Source organism: Homo sapiens, chromosome 16 (assembly GCF_000001405.40).
Source record: "Homo sapiens chromosome 16, GRCh38.p14 Primary Assembly".
Taxonomy (NCBI): domain Eukaryota; kingdom Metazoa; phylum Chordata; class Mammalia; order Primates; family Hominidae; genus Homo; species Homo sapiens.
In genome coordinates, this window is record NC_000016.10 from 21,401,844 (window position 1) to 21,426,571 (window position 24,728).

Genomic DNA, 24,728 nt, shown 5'->3' on the forward strand with positions numbered 1-24,728 from the left:
TAAAGGATTTTTTAACATTGGCCAGGCGTGGTGGCACACATCTGTGATCCCAGCTACTTGGGAGGCTGGGGCAGGAGGATTGCTTGAAGCCCAGGAGGTTGAGGCTGCAGTGAGCTGTGATCGAGCCACTGCACTCCAGCCTGGATGACACAGCAAAATCCAGTCTCAAAAAAAATAATAATAATATTTTACATAACCAACCACTTCTAAAGATTAAAAAAAAACCCCTATGATTAAAAACCTCAGGTCCCTCAGGCAATCATACCAGATATCGAAACAAAGCAATAACATAAGGACTGCAGTATTTATTTTATTTTTATATTATTTATTTATTCTTTGTTAGTTTTTGGAGTGTGGGTTTTGTTTTGTTTTTTGAATTTTTTATTTTGTTCTACTCGGTTTTATTCTTATTGCTCAGGCTTGAGTGCACTGGCCTCTTCTCAGCTCAACCTCCGCCTCTTGGGTTCGGGTAATGATGGTTCCACGTCAGCGGCCCTCCGCCTCTTGGGTTTGCGTGACGGTTCCACGTCACCGACCCTCCGCCTCTTGGGTTCGGGTGATGATGGTTCCACGTCAGCGGCCCTCCGCCTCTTGGGTTTGCGTGACGGTTCCACATCACCGACCCTCCGCCTCTTGGGTTCGGGTGATGATGGTTCCACGTCAGCGGCCCTCCGCCTCTTGGGTTTGCGTGACGGTTCCACGTCACCGACCCTCCGCCTCTTGGGTTCGGGAGGTGGTTCCATCTCAGCCGCCCTCTGCCTCTTGGGTTTGCGTGGTTTTTCTGCCTCAGCCTCCTGAGTAGCTAAGGGAGGTGTCTTGAGATTATCATCGGCTGAGGGTGGAAGCGGCCCCCGCAGACGCTCGGCAGGTGTCTTGATATTATCATCTGCTGAGGGTGGAGCTGAGGGTGGAAGGGGAGTGAGCTGACGCTCGGAAGGTGTCTTGAGATTATCATCCGCTGAGGGTGGAAGCGGCCCCCGCAGACGCTCAGCAGGTGTCTTGATATTATCATCTGCTGAGGGTGGAGCTGAGGGTGGAAGGGGAGTGAGCTGACGCTCGGAAGGTGTCTTGAGATTATCATCCGCTGAGGGTGGAAGCGGCCCCCGCAGACGCTCGGCAGGTGTCTTGATATTATCATCTGCTGAGGGTGGAGCTGAGGGTGGAAGGGGAGTGAGCTGACGCTCGGAAGGTGTCTTGAGATTATCATCCGCTGAGGGTGGAAGCGGCCCCCGCAGACGCTCGGCAGGTGTCTTGATATTATCATCTGCTGAGGGTGGAGCTGAGGGTGGAAGGGGAGTGAGCTGACGCTCGGAAGGTGTCTTGAGATTATCATCCGCTGAGGGTGGAAGCGGCCCCCGCAGACGCTCGGCAGGTGTCTTGATATTATCATCTGCTGAGGGTGGAGCTGAGGGTGGAAGGGGAGTGAGCTGACGCTCGGAAGGTGTCTTGAGATTATCATCCGCTGAGGGTGGAAGCGGCCCCCGCAGACGCTCCCCGCAGACGCTCGGCAGGTGTCTTGATATTATCATCTGCTGAGGGTGGAGCTGAGGGTGGAAAGGGAGTGAGCTGACGCTCGGAAGGTGTCTTGAGATTATCATCCGCTGAGGGTGGAAGCGGCCCCCGCAGACGCTCGGCAGGTGTCTTGATATTATCATCTGCTGAGGGTGGAGCTGAGGGTGGAAGGGGAGTGAGCTGACGCTCGGAAGGTGTCTTGAGATTATCATCTGCTGAGGGTGGAAGCGGCCCCCGCAGACGCTCGGCAGGTGTCTTGATATTATCATCTGCTGAGGGTGGAGCTGAGGGTGGAAGGGGAGTGAGCTGACGCTCGGAAGGTGTCTTGAGATTATCATCCGCTGAGGGTGGAAGCGGCCCCCGCAGACGCTCGGCAGGTGTCTTGATATTATCATCTGCTGAGGGTGGAGCTGAGGGTGGAAGGGGAGTGAGCTGACGCTCGGAAGGTGTCTTGAGATTATCATCCGCTCAGGGTGGAAGCGGCCCCCGCAGACGCTCAGCAGGTGTCTTGATATTATCATCTGCTGAGGGTGGAGCTGAGGGTGGAAGGGGAGTGAGCTGACGCTCGGAAGGTGTCTTGAGATTATCATCGGCTGATGGTGGAAGCGGAATCCGCAGACGCTCAGCAGGTATCTTGATATTATCATCTGCTGAGGGTGGAGCTGAGGGTGGAAGGGGAGTGAGCTGACGCTCGGAAGGTGTCTTGAGATCATCCGCTGAGGGTGGAAGGCAGGTGTCTTGATATTATCATCTGCTGAGGGTGGAGCTGAGGGTGGAAGGGGAGTGAGCTGACGCTCGGAAGGTGTCTTGAGATTATCATCCGCTGAGGGTGGAAGCGGCCCCCGCAGACGCTCGGCAGGTGTCTTGATATTATCATCTGCCTGAGGGTGGAGCTGAGGGTGGAAGGGGAGTGAGCTGACGCTCGGAAGGTGTCTTGAGATTATCATCCGCTGAGGGTGGAAGCGGCCCCCGCAGACGCTCGGCAGGTGTATTGATATTATCATCTGCTGAGGGTGGAAGGGCATGATATGACGCTCGGAAGGTGTCTTGAGATTATCATCCGCTGAGGGTGGAAGCGGCCCCCGCAGACGCTCGGCAGGTGTCTTGATATTATCATCTGCTGAGGGTGGAGCTGAGGGTGGAAGGGGAGTACGGACGCTCGGAAGGTGTCTTGAGATTATCATCCGCTGAGGGTGGAAGCGGCCCCCGCAGACGCTCGGCAGGTGTCTTGATATTATCATCTGCTGAGGGTGGAGCTGAGGGTGGAAGGGGAGTGAGCTGACGCTCGGAAGGTGTCTTGAGATTATCATCCGCTGAGGGTGGAAGCGGCCCCCGCAGACGCTCGGCAGGTGTCTTGATATTATCATCTGCTGAGGGTGGAGCTGAGGGTGGAAGGGGAGTGAGCTGACGCTCGGAAGGTGTCTTGAGATTATCATCCGCTGAGGGTGGAAGGGGATGGAGCAGACACTCGGCACGTGTCTTGAGATTATCATCCGCTGAGGGTGGAGCTGAGGGTAGAGCTGAGGGTGGAAGGGGAGTGAGTAGACACTCGGGAGGTGTCTTGAGATTATCATCCGCTGAGGGTGGAAGGGGAGTGAGCAGACACTCAGGAGGTGTCTTGAGATTATCATCCGCTGAGGGTGGAAGGGGAGTGAGCACACACTCGGGAGGTGTCTTGAGATTATCATCCGCTGAGGGTGGAAGGGGAGTGAGCACACACTCGGGAGGTGTCTTGAGATTATCATCCGCTGAGGGTGGAAGGGGAGTGAGCAGACACTCGGGAGGTGTCTTGAGGCTCAGGGAGTTATCAGTTATAGAATGTTGTTGAGTTGGAGGAGGTGGCTGGTGGCCCATCCTGTTTTTTAAAGTTTCAGCTGTGAGGTAGGGCCAGTAGGGCAATCCTGAAGAATGACGATGCTCCGCTGCCGCCATTCTGACCTGTAGGGCCAAAGGAGGGAATGTTTTCACACATATTCATTTGATGGACAAAATTACCGCCACCAACACAGTCTGCACCTTCTGTTGCTGGTGATAGATTTTTGCACCTTTCCATCCTCCAGGTTTCAAAATAGCAGTATCAGTGTCATAATATCACCCTTCCACTGAGTACTGCCGACAGCTGGAGGGTAAAGGAAAGTCATTGGGACACACTGTTGTCTCCACATGCCACTGTGTCTGTCTGCAAATGTAGGCAGGCTGGGGTCCTGCCCCAGGGAAGACAGAGTCATAACAGAGTAATAAAGAAGCATGTTTGAGACACAGGAGTGTCTATGTCTATCCTCATTCCTCCCTCACAGCCATCACCAGAGCATGTTTCTTGCACCAGGTCAACAGACAGTAAGAGACAGTAAGAGAGGCATGAAAAGCCCACTGTCCACACATGTTGCAGCTTCTTTTTGGAGAATGTTTTCCAGGCCTTTTATGTTCTGTCTCTGATTCTCAGAACTCTGCAAGGTCAGTGTGACCACCCTGCTCCAAATCTAAGAAAACAGAGGTTTCCAGAGGAAGGAGAAATTGTGCCCAGGGTCACACAGCTTGCAAGAGGCAGAGTGGAAGTTGATTCCAGCTCTGCCTGCAGGACCCTCTCATTTCCCCTCTGTTTCCCTTCTTGACAAAGGATCTTCTTCACTCTGGAGGTGCCACCCATGAGAACAAAGAGCTCTGGAGAGATGTGGATTCCTGAAGAGCTGCAGGGGAACTGGGAGAGGGTTTTCTGACAGAACAATCTCACCTCAAGAAGTCACTTAGGCATGGCTGTAATATTTCTTTTCACTCCCAGGTAATACCAAATTGTAAGTGCACTAGGACATAAAGAATACTTTTGTCCATGGAAAAATGAGGTGGGAATTCTAAACAAAGCAAGTTTTAAAACTGTGTTTCACTTCAAGTGTACAAGTCCCATCACGTGTAATCATAGGACTCGGCAGCTTTTGAAGGTACAGAGGCCACACAAGAACCAGCTTAGCTGAGCATCATTTAAGGCCTTCATTTGGAATTGTCCCTGTGGGTAATAAGTTACATTCACTCTTCACTAGTTTACAGTCAGGGCCCATCTGCTATTACAAATACGGAACCTCTGACACTTAGAATATTAGATCAGGGGCCCCACTGGGTGGGGATGAAGGTGTTTTTGCGCAACACGGTTACCAACAGGGATGGGACTGTGATGCTTGTAGGCAGCCTTTCTCTCTGCCATCTCCCTCTGCAGGGCTTGAGCACAGAGCTGTAGGGAGAAAAATGTATCCATGTCCTGACCTGGCAGACTATGTCCAAAAGCAAGGAAAACAAGCAAACTTACCCAGTTGCAAAGAGCCTTTCTTGCAGAAGGGGGGATCTGAAAAAGCCAACACATGAGAAATTGAATGTTGAGAGAGTCTAAGGGCCGTGGCATCATCTGCATCAGCACTGAACTATCCTGCAACTGCAGGGAGGAAGCTCCTTACTTTGCATTTGTGGTAGTCCTCTGCTCGCCGCCGCAACTCTTGCGCACGTTGAAACATTTTCCTATGGATTACAATCACTTTCATCAGATAAAGCACCACTTTCAGGATGATTTTAAATAATCTGCCATGTTTCTGTTATCCTCACAACTGTACCCTTACACAATCTATCTCTACCTAGAAAACGTATTTCAGATGGCTAGAAGAGTACAGTCTGAGCCGGTCACGGTGGCTGACGCCTGTAATCCCAGCACTCTGGGAGGGCGGGGCGGATGGATCACGAGGTCAGGAGATTGAGACCATTGTGGCTAATATGGTGAAACCCCTTCTCTACTAAAAATACAAAAAATTAGCCAGGCGTGGTGGCAGGCACCTGTAATCCCAGCTACTCGGGAGGCTGAGGCAGGGGAATCACTTGAACCTGGGAGGCGGAGGTTGCAGTGAGCCAAGATCACGTCATTGCACTCCAGCCTGGGTGACACAGCGAGACTCCATCTCAGAAAAACAAAAACAAAAACAAAAAAACTGTACAGTCTGATCCAAACTGTTGCTGTATTGATTCCTCCTCTTGCTTACTGCCTGCTGACTTCTGAGATGATAGTTTCCTTCCCCATTCTCAGTACATCCCTAATTCATCCTTCATTGAGCATCTTTTATCATAAAGCTGTATTCTCTTTGTATTAATATCCTTACCGTGTTTCACAGGGCAGAAACAGCTGGGCTTATAAACAGGCATAGTCCTTTTGAAGGATGTGGTTGATCCTACAACAACACACTTTCCTAAGGATGACAACAACTCACCCCACCCCTAGAATGGCTGGTATGAACCGAGTTTCCACACAGTCTAGCTGGCAATGGGGTCAGGAGACGTTTTGCTACTTCACATCTTTTGGTCACTGGTAAATATTAAGGTACTTTGTTTTCTGTTTTGTGAACTCTCTCTCGCTCTCTCTCACGATATGTCTTCTGACCGTTTGTTTCTATTTCTGCATTTACTGGGTCTAAATACTGTACAAAGGTTAAAAACAACACTCCAATGGGCGTTTCCCAAGAGGGTGGGGTACAGTTTCTGAACTCACTTGTAGGTGTGTATTTCTTTCATATCCAATTTCCCATTTTCCTCTGCCTCTGATACCTGCCTCTCCTTTTCTGCATGCTCACATTCTTTCACGCTTAGTTTCCTCAGATTAGAAGGGAGAGAAATGCACACACATGATCCACCAGCCCGTGTGGGATTCCCTCTGCCCTTCTGGCATCTGAAGGCTGTGATTCAAAGATCCCCCCTGCAACCTTCCCACAAATGAACCAACTGATTCTCACAACCGAAGGGAGAATTGACACCTCCCATTGAGGGACAAAAAAAAGTCACACTCTGGCCTGCTGGCAAGTCACCTGTCATTTCCAGCTCATCTTCATAGTTCCATAGTTAGTCCTATTCTTTAGTAAATATAAAGACTATTAAAAGCTTCTATGAGGTGCACTATGTGTGTCTCTGGGGTCAGTCTTGTGCTTGACACAGCGAAAGCTCATTTTAGTTCAGTGTGAAAAACCAGACCTCACCAATTCATCACAACTAACTCCATCGGAAGCAGAGGATTGCTCCTCATCTGACTCCTCCTGTGTGAGACCTGATTCTCAGTCAGAGGCTGATGCCGGAACTGAGACCATCAGCCATAGAGAGATCCTTCCAGAATAACCCCGCAGTTCACTACTGCACTTTGCCATGATTCAGGACTGGAACTCTTGTCATCGACTTTAAAGATCCTGGTTGAGAGAAAAGGCAATCTGAATGCTGGGCGCATCTATTGAATTAGAAATGATCGGAATGGCTCCTAAGTCAGGGTGTTATGTCCTGAAAATAGGTGACAACGGCAAACCATCCACCCTGGTGTTGACTGACTTTAACAAGGTTCAGTTCACAGAGATTGAGGGCAGAAAAAGGAAACGGCCTCAAAAGGGTAAGTTTGCTGTGTTGCCCTCACACCACTTGATTCATGGTCCTGATCCTAAGGATCTCACCTGATACTTGGCTTTATAGGAAGGATGTGTAAAATTCCCAGAACGCTAGGAAACAGGGGCGAAAACACTTCAAAGAGAAAGTTAATGAACTTGTTTCTGACCACAAGGCATCCTTCAGCACATGCTGTCTGGAGTGGCCTCAAACAAGGAGTGTGTGGTGTGGTGCTGAGAATGCAATGGGAGCAGGGTCCTGTCCCCACGCTAAAGAAGCTCACAGCTTAATGCAAATGAGAAGCCAGTGAGGACATCACTACTCCTGCTGTGCACTTGGGAACTAGAAACACAAAACCTGACTCTGGAGGGAAGCTAAGGAAGCATTCTACTCTTGAGTTGACATAAGTGCATCTGAAGCTTCTGATCTCCGATGAGAACAATGGGGGACACCAAACAGAATATAAAACCCATGATTGAATACATCAAATTGCTAACATGGCAGTAAACAGACATGAGGTGAAGATGGAGAAGAAGGAAACCCAGGACGAAAGTCAGCCTCGCATTTGGAACCCATTTCCCTGAGTTTCATTGCTGAATTCCAGAAGGAACTACTGAGATGCAAAGAAGCACAGCAGCTTTTGCACACATGCGTGGGATTAGATGGAAAACAAGTGGATTGAGGGTCTGCCAATGAAAGCGACCCATACTGAAGTCCACTGGCTCTGGTTGAGACCCAGAAGAGTCATGCATCAGAATAAAGGTGGACAGGAAATACCCTGGCCTTTGTAGGGACTGAGCCTGCACCGATGACTTCAATTGCAGCCTGTATGGAGGACCCCTGACCATCCCCCAGAAGTAGACTCCCATCTCTTCTGCAGCAAGATAACATGCTACTAGGCCTCAATTCATTGCTAAACATTTTTTAACAAGTATCTCACATTTAACAAAAAAAGATCAGTCATATGGCAGCAAAATACAATGTCATATGACCAAAACATGAAAGACTGTGAAAATGAATCTGGAGGTGACCCAAGCATTGAATTCAACAATCCAGGCTGGGTGCGGTGGCTCACACTGGGAGGCTGAGGTAGGCAGATCACCTGAGGTCAGGAGTTCAAGACTAGCCTGGCCAACATGGTGAACCCCTGTCTCTACTAAAAATACAAAAATTGGGCCGGGCACGGTGGCTCACGCCTGTAATCCCAGCACATTGGGAGGCCGAGGTGTGCGGATCATGTCAGGAGTTCTAGACCAGCTTGGCCAATATGGTGAAACCCCGCCTCTACTAAAAATACAAAAATTATCCGGGCATGGTGGCATATGCCTGTAGTCCCAGCTACTCAAGAGGCTGAGGGATAAGAATCGCTTGAACCTGGGAGGTGGAGGTTGCAGTGAGCCAAGATCATGCCACTGCACTCTAGCCTGGGTGACAGAGTGAGACTCTGTCTCAAAAAAAAAAAAAAAAAAAAAATTGGTCAAATGTGGTGGCACACACCTGTAATCCAAGCTACTCGGGAAGCTGAGGCAGAATTGCTTCAAACTGGGAGGCAGAGGTTGCAGTGAGCCAAGATTGCACCATAGCACTCCAGCCTGGGCGACAGAGCGAGACTCTATCGCAAAATTAAAAAAAAAAAAAAAAAAAAAAAGGCTGGCTGTGGTGGCTCACGCCTCTAATCCCAGCACTTTGGGAGGCTGAGGCAGGTGGATTACCTGAGGTCAGAAGTTCGAGACCAGCCTGGACAACATGGTGAAACCCCATCTCTAGTAAAAATACAAAAATTAGCTGGGCGTGGTGGTGGGCACCTGTAATCCCAGCTACTTGGGAGGCTGAGGCAGGAGAATTGCTTGAACCCAAAAGGCAGTGAGCTGAGATTGTGCCATTGCACTACAGCCTGGGCAACAACAGCAAAGCTCCATCTCAGGAAAAAAAAAAAAAAAAAAAAAGAGAAAGGAAAACCAATGCCAGTACTAGCAACTCCTCTTCCTCCGAAAAAATGAAAACAAGAATGTAGGAAGGGAAAGGAATTATACAGCTTAAACTAATGAAGCAGAAAGGACAAACTCAATTTTGAACCCACTGAATTTGCCACAAATATTGTAGAAAATATTCTCAAGGACTTTACAGTTGTCTACTTTGATTGGCACATGGTTCATACAACAGTATTTGTGTCAAGGCACATCTTACTGTTTTCTGGCGGTCTTCCTCTTTCCATTGATTTTGTCATGATGGTTGATTTTCGTTGTCACCTTCCTCTTACGGATTTTAGCTCTAACTTTTGTTTCCACATGTCTCCGTAGAGTAATGACGTCTTTCAGGCCAATTTTATTTCCTCGAAAGGAAGAAACTCTTTTCTTTGTGTGCATACAAATGGACCTCAGCCCTTGGTGAGAGTGAGGAGAGGAGAAGGTGAGAAACCTGAGGGCAAGAAGCTGTTCTTTCCCTTTCCAGGGCAAACTCATTTCCACACTATGCGGATTCCAACAGAGCCATACCTTCCTGTCTACGGCGGTTGGACCTCCAGGCTCTCTGCTGTACATCCGTGGATCCATCATGTCCATTTCGAGACCAGAAGATAGTCTTCAGGAGAGACACCTAGGAAATAATAATATAAGAATGACGGCTGGGCACGGTGGCTCATGCGTATAATCCCAGTACTTCGGGAGGCCGAGGCAGGTGGATCACGGGGTCAGGAGTTCAAGACCAGCCTGGCCAAGATGGTGAAACCCCGTCTCTACTAAAAATACAAAAATTAGCCGGGCATGGCAGCGGGCGCCTGTAATCCAAGCTACTCGGGAGGCTGAGGCAGAGAACCGTTTGAAGCTGGGAGGCGGAGGTTGCAGTGAGCCGAGATCACACCACTGCACTCCAGCCTGAGCGACAGAATGAGACTCTGTCACATACACACACACACACACAAGAATGACATGAGGCTGGCACGGTGGCTCACTCCTGTAATCCCAGCACTTTGGGAGGCCGAGGCAGGCGGATCACCTGAGGTCGGGAGTTTGAGACCAGCCTCACCAACATGGAGAAACGCTGTCTCTGCTAAAAATACAAAATTAGCCAGGCATGGTGGTGCATGCCTGTAATCCCAGCTAGTCGGGAGGCTGAGGCAGGAGAATCACTTGAACCCAGCAGGAAAAGCTTGTGGTGAGCTGAGATTGTGCCATTGCACTCCAACCTGGGCAACAAAATTGAAACTCTGTCTCAAAAAAAAAAAAAAAAAAAAAAAAAAAATAGGCCAGATGCGGTAGCTCACGCCTGTAATCCCAGCACTTTGGGAGGCCGAGGCGGGTGAATCACAAGGTCAAGAGATGGAGACCATCCTGGGCAACATGGTGAAACCCCGTCTCTACTAAAAATACAAAAATTAGCTGAGCATGGTGATGCACGCCTGTAGTCCCAGCTACTCGGGAGGCTGAGGCAGGAGAACTGCTTGAACCCAGGAGGCAGAGGTTGCAGTGAGCCAAGATCCCACCACTGCACTCCAGCCTGGTGACAGAGTGAGACTTCGTCTCAAAAAAAAAAAAAAAAAAAAAATGACATGAATATACTTCACACAACTGAACTGTACACTTCAACACGGTTAGATGGTAATTATCATCTTATAAGTATTTTACCACAGGTTAACATGTTTCACAACTTGAAAAGGAAGTAATTACCTTCAGCTCTCTGAGTTCTAGAATTTGTAACATTTCATCCCCTGCTCCTTCCTGATCTGCACTGGAGCATCTTCCTTCTGTCCCTGCTCTACTCAGAGTTCACTTTCCCTTCCCTCACATCAGCTTCATTGAGGCTGGTTTGAACTTAACGCAAAACATTCTCACTAATGACTGAATTCCCACCAAGATTTCCATATTATCACAGTATGCTTTTAATCTTCTAAGATATTAAATATTTCTTCTCATCATAGCTAAAATGCAATGCAAATCCCATCTCAGATGTGGGTCAGATACCTATGAATCTCCTGAGGTGGTCATTGAAATGACTTTTTTCTTGAGACAGAGTGTCACTCTCAACCGTGCTGAAGTGCAGTGGCGCTACCTTGGCTCACGGCAACCTCCACCTCCCAGATTCAAGCGATTCTTGTGCCTCAGCCTCCCAAGTAGCTGGGATTACAGGTGCCTGCTACCATGCCTGGCTAATTTTTGTCTTTTTAGTAGAGATGGGGTGTCACCATGTTGGCCCATCTGGTCTTGAACTCCTGACCTCAAATGATCCATCTGCTTCAGCCTCCCAAAGTGCTGGGATTACAGGCATGAGCCACCACACCTGGCCTGAAATAATATCTTTCAAATTCTTTGTAGAATTTGTTTTTTCCTGATTTCTGCACATAGGATAAAAAAAAAATCATGTACTAGGATTTCGAGAGAAGCAATGGGTAATCTAAAAAGATGAAAAGAGCAACCACGTCAATCCCACAGCTACTGCTAGATTTCATAGGAAAGGTAGCTGGCCCAGTTTGGAGCTAGGGGAAATGTCAAACACATGAAGAAATGAGAAGCCAAGAAATGCCATCACGCATGAATGCTTCATGGCACCCATGATGTCCCTGCTAAGGAGGTAATGGTATAGATGACTAGATGACAAGGACAAAGATGAGAGGTGCGAAGTTGTCCAAGTCCAACAGCTCAACTGAACTTTCCTAAGTGGAATTGTTAAAAAGTGGTAAATTTAAAAACTTCCCCTGGCTCACGTGGTGGCTCACGCTTGTAATCCCAGCACTTTGGGAGGCTGAGGTGGGTGGATCATTTGAGGTCGGGTTTTGAGACTAGCCTGGCCAACATGGTAAAACCCCGACTCTACTAAAAATACAAAAATTAGCTGGGCATGGTGGTGGGCACCTGTAATCCCAGCTACTTGAGAGGCTGAGGCAGGGGAATCACTTGAAGCCAGGAGGTGGAGGTTGCAGTGAGCCGAGGTCACACCATTATACTCCAGCCTGGGCAACAGAAGGAGACTCGTCTTCGGGGTGAGAAAAGAAAAAAAAAAAAGAAAAAAGCTTCCTCCAATTTATACCGAAAATTCTCTGTTCAGGACTAAGTGGCATAGAGAATGTTAAATGTGCCTAGATATCTTCATAACTCATATATTTTCTGTTTTCTACATATCTTGAAAGGCAGTGCCAAATGACGTGTAATTATCTAGGTGGTAAAACTGAAACATACTTCCTCTTCCCTTGAATATAAAAAAGCATTGTGGTATTAGTACTTTTATCTTGGATCATTGTTCAGAAGGAGGTTCAGCCCCCAGACAACCACATTTTTACTGTCATGAATGGCAAGACAAAATGTAGAGCTCAACTTACCCAAAGGAAAAAAGGCTCAAAAGACAAATTATGGCACAACTTAGCAGCCAAATTCTTACCAAGTACAGACTTTTGACATACTGATCTCTCTCCAGTTCCAAGTCGGAACATGCACTTTGAATGATGTCATTCAAAATTACCCTGCCCAGACACACTTTTCATTGATTCTCTTGGAGGGCAGTTCTAAGAGTCTCTGGGGCTTTCTCTGCATCATGAGACGCAGTGCAGTTCTGCCCTTCACCTTCCGGCAGTTTGTCACCTCGTCCCTATGACCTCACAGGAACTTTGTCTCAGGCCAATTGTTTGTTCCTTGGCCTCTTTCATTTCCCCTAAAAATCATTTGCTGCCCCTCTAAATGGCCTACATCTCCATCTATCTCCCTCTCCCCTCAGAAGAGGGTGCTCTTTAAGCATCAGCCATCCGGCCCTTCTAGCAGTCTCATTTTTCAGCTGGTTCCCATGTTTATGCCTGTTCTATGTTTTTCTTTTCCTGTTAAGCTGTCTGTTGTCAGCTCATTTCTGCAGTGAATCTTCAGAGAGGAGATTGGAAGCTTTCCTTCCACCCATACGATAGAACTATAAAGCAGAAGAGTTTAGAAAGAATTTCCTATTTAAGTGACGAAACCTCATACTCCATTTGTGATAAATAGCACAAAGGTTAAAAAAACTTATTTTTGACCAAAAGCTCTGTTGACATTCTATTAAACAAACACCGACCTATTTAATTTTCATAATGCAAATGGCAGATGTTTTCATAATTCTTATACTAATAAATCATTTCCCTGATTTTTTGGGTAAAACCACATATTCATAATGAAGTCCAGAAATGTGAATTGTTTTATATAATTTATTCTTATTTGTGATTACAAGTATACCTCTACAGAAAGTTAGTATACTCACCCAAAGGTAAACTATCCAGAGGGTAATGACAACTTTATAACTTGTCGGAAACGCAATAATGACATGTAACCAAGGACTTCCACCAAAGTCAGTCCCACGATGATGATGGTCAGCCAGAGTATTGATAACCTGGAATAATAATAGTTGAAATAATGAAAAGGTCAATGACACTGACAATATTTCACTCAGAAAGAATCATCCTTAGAAACCGTCAACCTCCTCCAAAAGGTAACCACATCCCTCAGATATCACCGTGGGATTCCACTGCTACAAAAAAGAACAGAAGTTAGAAGTCACATGTTTTTCAGATGGCTGGTAGTGTTTTCAGGCATTGCAAATGTGGGGTGTTGTCTTTCTTGGTATAAAGCAGGGATATCCAATCTTTTGACTTCCCTGCCTATATTAAAAGAAGCAAAGTTGTCTTGAGCCACACATAACATACACTAACACTAACAATAGCTGATGATCTAAAAAAAACCTCTTTTTTTTTTTTGAGACAGAGTTCCGCTCCACTCAGTCGCCCAGGCTGGAGTGCAGTGGTGCAATCTCGGCTCACTGCAACCTCCAGCTCCTGGGCTCAAGCCATTCTCCTGCCTCAGCCTCCCGAGTAGCTGAGATTACAGGTCTCTGCCACCATGCCCGACTCATTTTTGTATTTTTAGTAGAGATGAGGTTTCACCACGTTGGCCAGTCTGGCCTTGAACTCCTGACAGGCGATCTGCCTACCTCGGCCTCCCAAAGTGCTGGGATTACAGGTGTGAGCCACCGTGCCCAGCCATTTTTTTGTTTTTGTTTTTGTTTGTTGTTTTTGAGATGGGGTCTCACTCTGTCACCCAGGCTGGAGTGCAGTGGTGTGCTCCCGGCTCACTGCAACCTCTGCCTCTCAGGTTCAAGTGATTCTCCTGCCTCAGCCTCCTGAGTAGCTGGGAGTACAGGTGCCTGACAGTGCACTCAGCAAATTTTTGTATTTTTTGTGGAGATGGGGTTTTGCCATGTTGGTCAGGGTGGTCTCGAACTCCTGACCTCAGGTAATCTGCCCGCCTCAGCCTCCCAAAGTGCTGGGATTACACGCATGAGCCACTGTACCTGGCCAAAATCTCCTAATGTTTTAAGAAAGTTTACAAATTTGTGTTGAACTGCATTCAAAACTGTCCTGGGCCACATGCAGCCCGTCACTCATGGGTAAGACAAGCTAAGTATAAAGTAATTATCTTATCTTTTCTTTTCTTTTTGTTTTGAGACAAAGTTTTGCTCTGTCACCCAGGCTAGATTGCAGTGGCATGATCTCAACTCACTGCAACCTCCGCCTCCCGGGTTCAAGCGATTCTCCTGCCTCAGCTACTGAGTAACTGGGATTACAGGCGCCTGCCACCACGCTCGGCTAATTTTTGTATTTTTAGTAGAAACAGGGTTTCACCATCTTGGCCAGGCTGGTCTCCAACTCCTGACCTCATGATCCACCTGCCTTGGCCTCCCAAAGTGCTGGGAATACAGGTGTGAGCCACTGCACCTGGCCAGTAGTTATCTTTTCTTTAAAGTTATTTACTTGTTTTTTAAATTGATGTATAACATTGGATGCATTTATTATATATCACATGGTAAAAGAATCCCTCTAAATAATACTTCTCTCTTGGATTATATGAATCTTTGTCATTTAAATCTCAGCATAAGTAAAAAAAAAAAAAATACAATGAAGAGATTACTTCATTCACAAATAAGTATCAAATTTTAGTGCTTAAAAATTAACAAGGTGGGCTGGGCGTGGTGGCTCACGCCTGCAATCCCAGCACTTTGGGAAGCCGAGGTGGGTGGACCACGAGATCAGGAGATTGAGACCATCCTAGCTAACACGGTGAAACCCGTCTCTACTAAAAATACAAAAAATTAGCAGGGCATGGTGGCACGTGCCTATAGTTCCAGCTACTTGGGAGGCTGAGGCAGAAGAATCACTTGAACCCGGGAGGCAGAGGTTGCAGTGAGCCGAGATCGCACCACTGCACTTCAGCCTGGGTGACAGAGCGAGACTCTGTCTCAAAAAAAAAAAAAAAAAAAAAAAAAAAAAAAAAAAAAAATTATCAAGGTGGAGATCATGAAAATGGCATGAATAGTGTGGGATTTCTCTAAGATTGTTGATATTAATTCCATTAGACTCTTATGTGAGTGAAGACGAAGACTTCCCCTGAGTAAGTTCAGACAGCTTGTGATAACATTTCTACGTCGATTCCTCAGGATTTAACTATATATTCTTGAAAACATCTCAATTTTAAATGTTTCTTTCAAGATGGTGAATTAAACAGAGATAGCCCTTCAACAGGTTGAACTCAGCATATGCTGAGTCTGAAATGGAAATGATGAAGTTAGAGAACCATACAACAATGGTAATGATTTCAGAAACATGGTGTTGAGCAGAACAAAGCAGACACAAAAGAGTACCTATGGCATGGCATGCATCTGTATACGCGAAATTCCAGAATAAGCAAGCTAACCTATGATAAGAAAGAGACTGGCTGGGAAGACTGAGAGTTCACTTTCTGGGGTGACATAATAGTGTAGATCTTGGCTGGGCATGGTGGTTCACGCCTGTAATCCCAACGCTTTGGGAGGCCGAGGCGGGCGGATCACCTGAGGTCGGGAGTTCAAAACCAGCCTGACCAACATGGAGAAACCCTATCTCTACTAAAAATACAAAATTAGCTGGGAGTGGTGCCACATGTCTGTAATCCCAGCCACTCGGGAGGCTGAGGCAGGAGAATCGCTCGAACCTGGGAAGCAGAGGTTGCGGTGAGCTGATATTGCCCCATTGCACTCCAGCCTGGGCAACAAGGGAGAAACTGTCTCAAAATAAATAAATAAATAAATAAATAAATAAATAAAATAATGTAGATCTTGAAAGGGGGTTGGTTTATGCTGGTGTATGTACTTTCCAAAGTTAGTAAACTTACACTTAAGGTTATATATTTTGGCCAGGCGCGGTGGCTCACGCCTGTAATCCCAGCACTGGGAGGCTGAGGCAGGCAGATCACGAGGTCAAGAGATGGAGACTATCCTGGCGAACATGGTGAAACCCCGTCTCTACTAAAAATACAAAAAATTAGCCGGGCGTAGTGGCGGGCGCCTATAGTCCCAGCTACTTGGGAGGCTGAGGCAGGAGAATGGCGTGAACCCGGGAGGCGGAGCTTGCAGTGAGCCGAGGTCCCGCCACTGCACTCCAGCCTGGGCGACAGAGCGAGACTCCGTCTCAAAAAAAAAAAAAAAAAAAAAAAAAAAAAAAATTAGCCAGGCGTGGTGGTCTACTAAAAATACAAAAATTAGCCAGGCGTTGTAATCTGAGCTACTCAGGAGGCTGAGGCAGGACAATTGCTTGAACCCCAGAAGCGGAGGTTGCAGTGAGCCGAGATCTTGCCACTGCACTCCAGCCTGGGCGACAGAGTGAGACTCTGTCTAAAAAAAAAAAAAAAAAAAAAAAAAGTCATCAAACCAGATGACACAAATCAAATGACATTTCACTTTGTTTTGGTCCATTTTCTTTGTTAAAAACAAGAGTGCAGCGGGGCCATCTCGGCTCACTGCAACGTCCAGCTCCTGGGCCCAAGCGATCCTCCCACCTCAGCCTCTCCAGTAACTGGGATAACAGGTACGCACCACCAGGCCCGACTAATCTTTATTGGAATTTTTTGTAGAGATGGGGTTTCGCTATGATGCCCTGGCTAGTCTTCAACTCCTGGACTCAAGTGATCTGCCCACCTCGGCCCCCTAAAGTGCTGGGATTACAGGCCTGAGCTGTGTAATTTCATGCCACGTGATACAGCCCAGTAAAAAGGAAGAAACCCCACGGGTCCAGCGTCTACTCACAGAGATGCACTGATGGCTGATAAATTCCAGTAGGAGCCCAAAGAGGAGCCAAAAGAGCATCCACCGCACCCGCATGTCCTGGTCCTTTCAGGGCGCCCTGAGGCGGCCAGGACAGAGGTGGAGGTGGCTTAGGGCAGGGGGGAGGGAAGGGGACGGGGACCGGGGCCGGATCTGAGTTGGGGAGGGGGAGGGGGAGGGGAGGGGGAGGGGAAGGGGAGGGGAAGGGGGGAAGTAAGGGAAGGGAAAGGAGGAGAAGGGGGCTGTTGGGCACCTGGAGGAGGTGGAGGAGGAGGAGGAGAAGAAGAAAGGGGTCTGGGAAAGGATCCGGTTCAAATTAAGTTCTCAAGCGCTGGTGGAAGGTTTAGCTACAGGTCACGGAGAAGATCAGGGAAGCAACAGGACACGCGGGGCAAGGGAGCGTGAGGCTTAGGAGCAATCAGAGGGAGACAAAAAGGTTCTGCTATCCACCAAACCTTCTTCGGTCTGGGCCCTCCCTTACCAACCCTGGGGCTTTATACTCCCTCTCCACCAATCCCTGATGACCCCGGTGGTGCCTCACAATGGACAGTGCCTCACAATGGACAATGCCAAGTAGCGCCCGCATCATTCCAATGACCCCTCCCCCATCTCAGTCTCCCACACTCCTCCCAAAGACAGGTCCTCTCTGGAACCTTCACAAACCTGATTTCTGGTCCTCCCCAACCAGCTCCCTGTCCCTGCTTCTGGGCGCTCCTTCCTTCCTGAGCTCCCAGGGTTCCTCAAGGTCACTTATGGCGACAAAACATAAAAAACAAATGATGGCAGGATGGCAGGAAGAACCTCATACCCAAGCAGAGTGCCAGGTTTTACAGCCTCCGCTCAGCCATTCATATCCTAAGCAACAAAACATCAGCAGGGTGCGGAAGGTCCCGATAGTAAACCATCTCCATCACATCCATGTAGCCATCCGTCCATCAACCTGTATCTCAGGAACAAATGTAGATACATTCATTTTAAGCATGCCTGGTACATTTACAAAAATTAACCTGACTTATTTTGTTCCAGCAAATCTCAATATATTTGAGAGCAATCAAATCACACAGCATGTTTCTGATCATATAACTGTGCTAGAAGTCAATGATTAAAAGCTAATTCAAAATTATTATTTGCTTGGAAATTCAAAGTGCCCTTATAAGACATAAACATAAGAAAGAATCCAAAATGAAACAAGATTGCCTTTCAACTCAATAATGAGATCATAACATGGCAATAAAATGTCTCCCTCTGGCCTGGGAATTCCTCTTTGTGGCACAAGGTTGTGTGATCTCAAATCACCGCTAACCCACCTAGACATTTTAACATCCGAAACCGAGTGATGACGTCCTTATCTATATCATCTTACTGCCTGTGTGTGTGGACTTTAAATTCTGAACCCAAATGAGGGGGAGAAAACCAAGTTGACTTTCATGACTGAGCTCTCAGGGACGTCCAAGGAATCTGTGCATTTCAAGAAACAAAGTTCATCAGCTTCTCTCCTAAGGTATTTGCCCACAATACCCAGAGGGCTTGGCAGCATCATGTGTGATGGGTGGGGAGCTCCAAGCAGGTGGGCAGGACCCAGGGGCCTGGTGACCAGGACAGACCCCCACTGTCCATCACCTTTCCTGGCCCTGTCCTCTGCTAAACTTCCCACAGGCCTTCTGCCCGATCACACAGAGTATGCCCAAACTCTCTCAGGCCTCTGGCAGCTGAAAACCACTGCTTTAAATCCCTTTACCATTTACTATGACATAAGGTTATTGTAAACAGGAAATATTCTATTGATGCTACAAATGGAAAGCCAATGCCTTTACCATAAATAGAAAAACAACCCTAAGAAGCAAGCAAAACAAAAACAAAACAGGGGCTGGGTGTGGTGGCTCACGCCTGTAATCCCAGCACTTTGGGAGGCCGAGGTGGGCGGATCACAAGGTCAGGAGTTCCAGACCAGCCTGGCCAATATGGTGAAACCCTGTCTCTAATAAAATACAAAAATTAGCCGGGTGTGGTGGTGGGCGCCTGTAGTCCCACCTACTTGGGAGGCTGAGGCAGGAGAATAGTTTGAACCCGGGAGGCAGAGTCTGCAGTGAGCCGAGATTGCACCACTGCACTCCAGCCTAGGCGACAGAGCGAGACTCTGTCTCAAAAACAGCAACAACTACAAACAAACAAAAAACAGGGTTAACAAAAGTATGGAATTCAATTCTTTTTATATGCTGCAGCCATGTTCCTGCCCTAGATTTGGCTGGGCATGGTGGCTCACGCCTGTAATCCCAGCACTTTGGGAGGCTGAGGCAGGCGGATCACGAGGTTAGGAGTTCGAGACCAGCCTGACCAACATGGTGAAACCCCGTCTCTACTAAAAATACAAAAATTAGCCAGGCATGGTGGCACACGCCTGTAATCCCAGCTACTCAGGAGGCTGAGGCAGGACAATCCCTTGGACCCGGGAGGCGGAGGTTGCAGTGAGCCGAGATCGTACCATTGCACTCCAGCCTGGGTGACAGAATGGAATGAGACTCTGTCTCAAAAAAAAAAAAAAAAAAAAAAGCAGCCCTAGATTTCGGTTGTGGTGGTTGTAAAAGGAGAGACCAAGTAAGTGGGGGTTGAAGTCAGATTAGAGCAAAAGTGAATGGCAGAGAGTACTATAATGTCCATGAAGGGCTGCTAGAGTCACCGTGATCATAGCCCAAGCAGAGATAGGGAAAGGAAGATGTGAGCAGAGTTTGGGGTCTCGAACAATGGAGGTTATTCGTGCAGCCCAGGAAAGGCTCCCCAAAGCCAGGATCAACCTCCCTTGGAGGCGGTCCCTCATGGAGGCATGGTCAGGCACCTTAGATTTGAGACCAGCTATGTTGCTGCTGACCAGCTGTGTGACCCTGGGCTGGTTTCCTTCCACACAATGGGAGTGCCAATGGCTGCATGCATGCAAAGACCGTCTGAGGATAGGAGGAAGCAATCTGCTGAGCACCCGTGTACCTGAGTGTCATCACCTCCCAAGGGCATCCTTCGTTCCAGAGCTGGCACCTTGGAAGGCCCTTGGTCACTGAAGGCAGTGATGATGGTAACAGCAGTAAATCATCATTTACGGCTGATGAGGGAAGGCCAGGGGTAGGGCTCCTAGGTCCTGGATAAGAATGAGGGTCTGGGCACTCCTGGGGACAGCTGAGTGGTAGGACTCCTGGGTCCCCAGGGGGCAGGTCCATCTTCAGTGGCATTGGGCCTAGGCTGGGATGCTGAGTTATCCACTGGAGCATCAGCAGTACAGGCAGGCACAGAGGCAGTGGATCCATCGGAGGTGGCAGGTGTAGGATCGTCTGGTGAGCAAGTAGAGTCACCAAATCTGGCTGACCACTACCCCCACTACCCCCACTATCCCCACAGACGATGCCCTGTCCCTTGCCTCATGCTCCGGCAGGGTACAGGCTCGCACCTGGGGCCTCAAGGAGCATCTCTCTAAGACCTCTGTGTCCTGGTCATTGAATGGGCACTTGAGTCACCCAGGGCCATTGGAACAAAGAGGAAGAATCAGGCCCCACGATGTTTTGGGAGAGTGTTTAGCACAGGAAAATGCGCAGAATACACGCACGACACGGGGGCACTGTCAGTGTGGGAGCAATGGTTTACAACCTCCAGCCCTAATCTGAGCACTCTCACCTGTGCAATCTGAAAGGAACAGGAGACTTGCAGGAAAGACAGTGCCTGGATTTAACTTAAAGGAACTAAAAATGTTGGAATTTTTACTCTTGATATCCTTCCAAATCAACTCTCTCAATGTTCCCATCCTCAAAACTATCATATGGGGTAACTGAGGCAGTCAGAGATTTACTGACTCAATGTCACTCAATTGATTCTGAGTTCACTGCTGATTACATCCGACCAAACTGCTTTTTCTGAAGTCTACTCCGTTTAATCATGCTGGTGATGATTTTGTGCGGCTCTGGGACAAACTCCACCTGGCTGAAGATAAAGCAAATCTGCGGTGACTTAGTCCTCCTGTCATTTCCCATCAGTTCCCCACTCTCCTCCTCTGCCCCTCCACAGTCTCCCATGCAGGCTGACACCATATGACGGCCTTAATGGAGTCCACCGAGTATTTCAGGTTCTCTCCTGGGCCACTTGAAAGTGGATGTACCCATGGGATTTGCTTTGACCCAGGAGATGTGCGTGGAAGTGAAGCGTGTCACCTCGAGGCAGAAGAGTTGGGAGCCATTGAGACGGGCCACTCTCTCCTTCATCTCTTAGAGCAGCTGACAGCTCCCATATGGAGGCTGCTCCTTTATTCTCGTGGCAGGATGAGGGCATGTGGGGCACAGGGCACAGGAGAGCCATGGAGGATGTGCAGCATGGGCAGGAAAAGAGCCTTCAGTGGTGTACATTTCCATAGTTTGGGGCTGTTTCTTACCTACAGTGATACCTAGCCCATCCTAGCAGGCATGCACCATCTACTCCACACTCTGTGATGCAGACTAGCCTGCCGTCAGAACACGAACTGGTGGTCAGACACAGGTAGGTTTCAGTTCCAGCTCTGCCTCTTATTGACTGCAACCTCAGGCTTAACTTTCAGTCTCTGAGCCTCAGTTTCAACTCTGTAAAATGAGGTGGCTATACCATCTCAGGTTGCAGAGAGAATTAAATGAAATATAAGTGCATGTAGAGCATTGAACCCAGGGCCTGGCACACACAGTGAGTACACAATGTTAGCCAGGTAGCTTCATAATGCATACTGATTGTCAATATTCAGACAATGCAGTAAAGTGTTACCAAAAATAAAAGTAAACTTATTTGCATATGTATTCTTTCAATCTTTATTTTTAAACAGGGTAAAACTATGCATATTCTTTCATAGCCAGTGTTTTTCTCTTCATAGTATATTGTTAAAATAATTTTACTTGGACCGGGTGCAGCGGCTCACACCTATAGTCCCAGCACTTTGGGAGGCCGCGGTGGGCAGATCACGAGGTCAGGAGTTGACACGAGCCTGGCCAATATGGTGAAACCCCATCTCTACTAAGAATACAAAAATTAGCTGGGCATGGTGGCACACACCTGTAGTCCCAGCTACTCAGAGGCTGAGGCAGAGGAATTGCTTGAACCCGGGAGACAGAGGTTGCAGTGAGCCAAGATTGTGCCATTGCACTCCAGCCTGGGGGACAGAGTGAAACTCTGTCTCAAAAAATATGTGTGTGTGTGTGTGTGTGTGTGTGTGTGTGTGTGTGTGTGTGTGTGTGTGTGTGTATCTATATAAATCTCAAAAATAAAAGATCATTTTTGAGATTATCATTTTAAAAGACAAGATAATGTTCAACTTAATGACTAATTTAATTATTACTATTGGACTTTTTGTAGACTGCACAGAGCATTCAAAACAAATGAAGGAGAATAAAAAATATGTATTACATGTTATAAAATAAATGTGATGTGGTTAACTCTTTTATTCAAAGTTATAGAACATACATATGTACTATAGAATGTATTATTATGAGTCATGTTAAAAAGTAGTTTAGAAGCTGTTGATTTGAATTTCCTTTTCAAATTTTGCAGGATAATTTTTTTTTTTTTTTTTTGACAGAGTCTCGCTCTGTCGCACAGTCTGGAGTGCAATGGCGTGATCTCGGCCCACTAAAACCCCCACCTCCTGAATCTAAGCAATTCTCCTGTCTCAGCCTCCTGAGTAGCTGGGACTACAGGCTCACACCACCATGCCCGGCTAATTTTTGTATTTTTAGTAGGGACGAGGTTTTGCCATATTGGTCAGGCTGGTCTCAAAGTCCTGGCCTCCGGTGATCCACCAGCCTCAGCCTCCCAAAATGCTGGGATTAGAGGCATGAGTCACCATGCCCAGCCTAAACTTGGCAAGCTAATAAATCACCTTTTTAAGTGTCGTTGGGCACTTGTCTGGTTGTTTTTCTTTAGGTTACCATGCCAGCAATGATTCCTTTTGAGTTTCTGACAGAAGATAGTGGTTTTCATCCAAATAAGTCAACTACTCTACCCCATCCCTAAGCCACTTGTATGGAAAGAAAAAGAGGAAGAAGCCAGTACTGTGACTGCGTAAGCTTCCCCCAGCATCACCGGCTATGAGATGTGTGGCAGCTGAGACCCGGGAACTGCTCAAGGGCACCAGGCCCCATCTGTCTGCACTCACTCACCTTCCTCAGGTACTCGCATGGGCATGTCACTGACTTTACATGCTGCTGCAGCTCCTTGGTGAGCTGGCCCTGGTCATGGGACAGGAACTGTGGGGTCAGGACAATAGAGAGCTTCACCATTTGCAGAATGAGAACAGGGGCTCATGATGAGTGCCAACCTATTAGATAATTTAAAAAAAAAAGTGTTGAATGAGTGGAAAAACAAGGTGATGTTTGAGTCTATAGTGGTCAAGGGCTTCAGAAAAGGACAGAACCAAGTTCAAATTCCTGTACTTTGAATTTCTACTTCATGCCATGCAAAATTACTTTACCCCTTTTAACCTCAGTTTTCTTCTGTGTGAAACAGGAACAATAGTTTCATTCGTCATTCAGTTTCTCTCAAGATTTCACGAGATCATACCTATAAAACATCCAAGTCATTTAAATGTATCATCATTTCTGTCATAATTAGTGGGATCCATTTCACTATTATTGGATATACAGTTCTGTGCCTGAAACCTACAAAAAAACAAAATGTTAAGTCTAAAAAGCATTAGTGATTTCTCATTTTTATATTACTAATTATAACCCTATTTAATCACACAAGGCCTTGTCCGCGGCAGGTGCTCAATAAACACTTGTCGAATCAATGCATGTGGGCTCCGGAGCCACACTGTTTAGATTCTATTCTGCCTCCACCACTTATCAGCTGTGTGATCTGGGTAAGATAATTCACCTCTTTATGTCTGCACTTCCCTCTCCATAAACTATATATAATGAGAATCCTTAGCTCATTCGGTTGTGGTGAGGGGTGAATGATTTGGCACACAGGAGGGGCTTGTTAAACATTAGCTGTGATGATCTCCTTCCAAATCTTCATTTTCAGAGCCACAGATGAGGCCATAGTGCAACCAGGTGACCTTAGAGTGTAAGTACACATGATCGCCAGCTATGCTCTATCTCCACCATAGGTCCAAGACTGGGTAGTTCTGGCCTGGAGGTTTCTGCTGCATCTGCCTTCTCAGTGTTCACCTAAGGACTTTTGTATTTTCCTCCTCGCATCCCCACAGATGGGGTTCAGGCTGCCGGACACAGCTGGGTGATGCCAGGGCAGTGGTCACCTGTGCCAGCCCCGTGAGGTAGCTGGAGGATCATTGTTCCTTCCTTCTCGGGCTCTGGGCAGATGCCAGGGCTGGGGTGACCCATGCCCTCAAGTTTCTTGCTTTGGTGGGCCACATTTTCCCTTGGCAAAGAGGGTAAAGGTCACAGGATGCCGGAGAGCTGTGACTTCTCTGTGCCCTGGGCCCAAACTATGAAGACCTGACACACTATGCTAAAAGTCCAACGCTGGGTGCTCCCCAGAGCTTCTTGCCTCACCGCTTCTGCTGAGGGAGGAATGAATACTATGTCCTCCCAGAGCTTTGGGAGCTTGTAGCAAGCAGCCTCCCCAGCGCAAAATCTCTTGGAAACCTCTAACTGTGTCTGAAACATTAGTGCAAATGTTGCATCCTATTTCCCATATGTCCGCATGTTTTAGAAAAAAACCCTCAATTTCCTAAATATGCAAGAAAAATCGGTATTGTAGGACAATGTGACTTTTTAAAAAATGTTATT

General features: G+C 47.4%; 1 protein-coding gene across 1 annotated transcript; it reads right to left on the reverse strand.

The window, feature by feature from the left end:
• Window positions 1-285: 285 nt before the first annotated feature.
• Window positions 286-23,535, reverse strand: NPIPB3 (nuclear pore complex interacting protein family member B3). Its single transcript, NM_130464.3, is given in 12 exon segments — window positions 286-1,138; window positions 1,391-2,392; window positions 2,394-2,536; window positions 2,539-2,663; window positions 2,665-3,450; window positions 4,811-4,846; window positions 4,956-5,016; window positions 9,091-9,286; window positions 9,399-9,498; window positions 13,114-13,242; window positions 23,136-23,293; window positions 23,457-23,535. Coding segments are annotated over 11 exon segments (3,396 nt in total). The 5' UTR covers window positions 23,256-23,293; window positions 23,457-23,535; the 3' UTR covers window positions 286-440.
• Window positions 23,536-24,728: the final 1,193 nt, after the last annotated feature.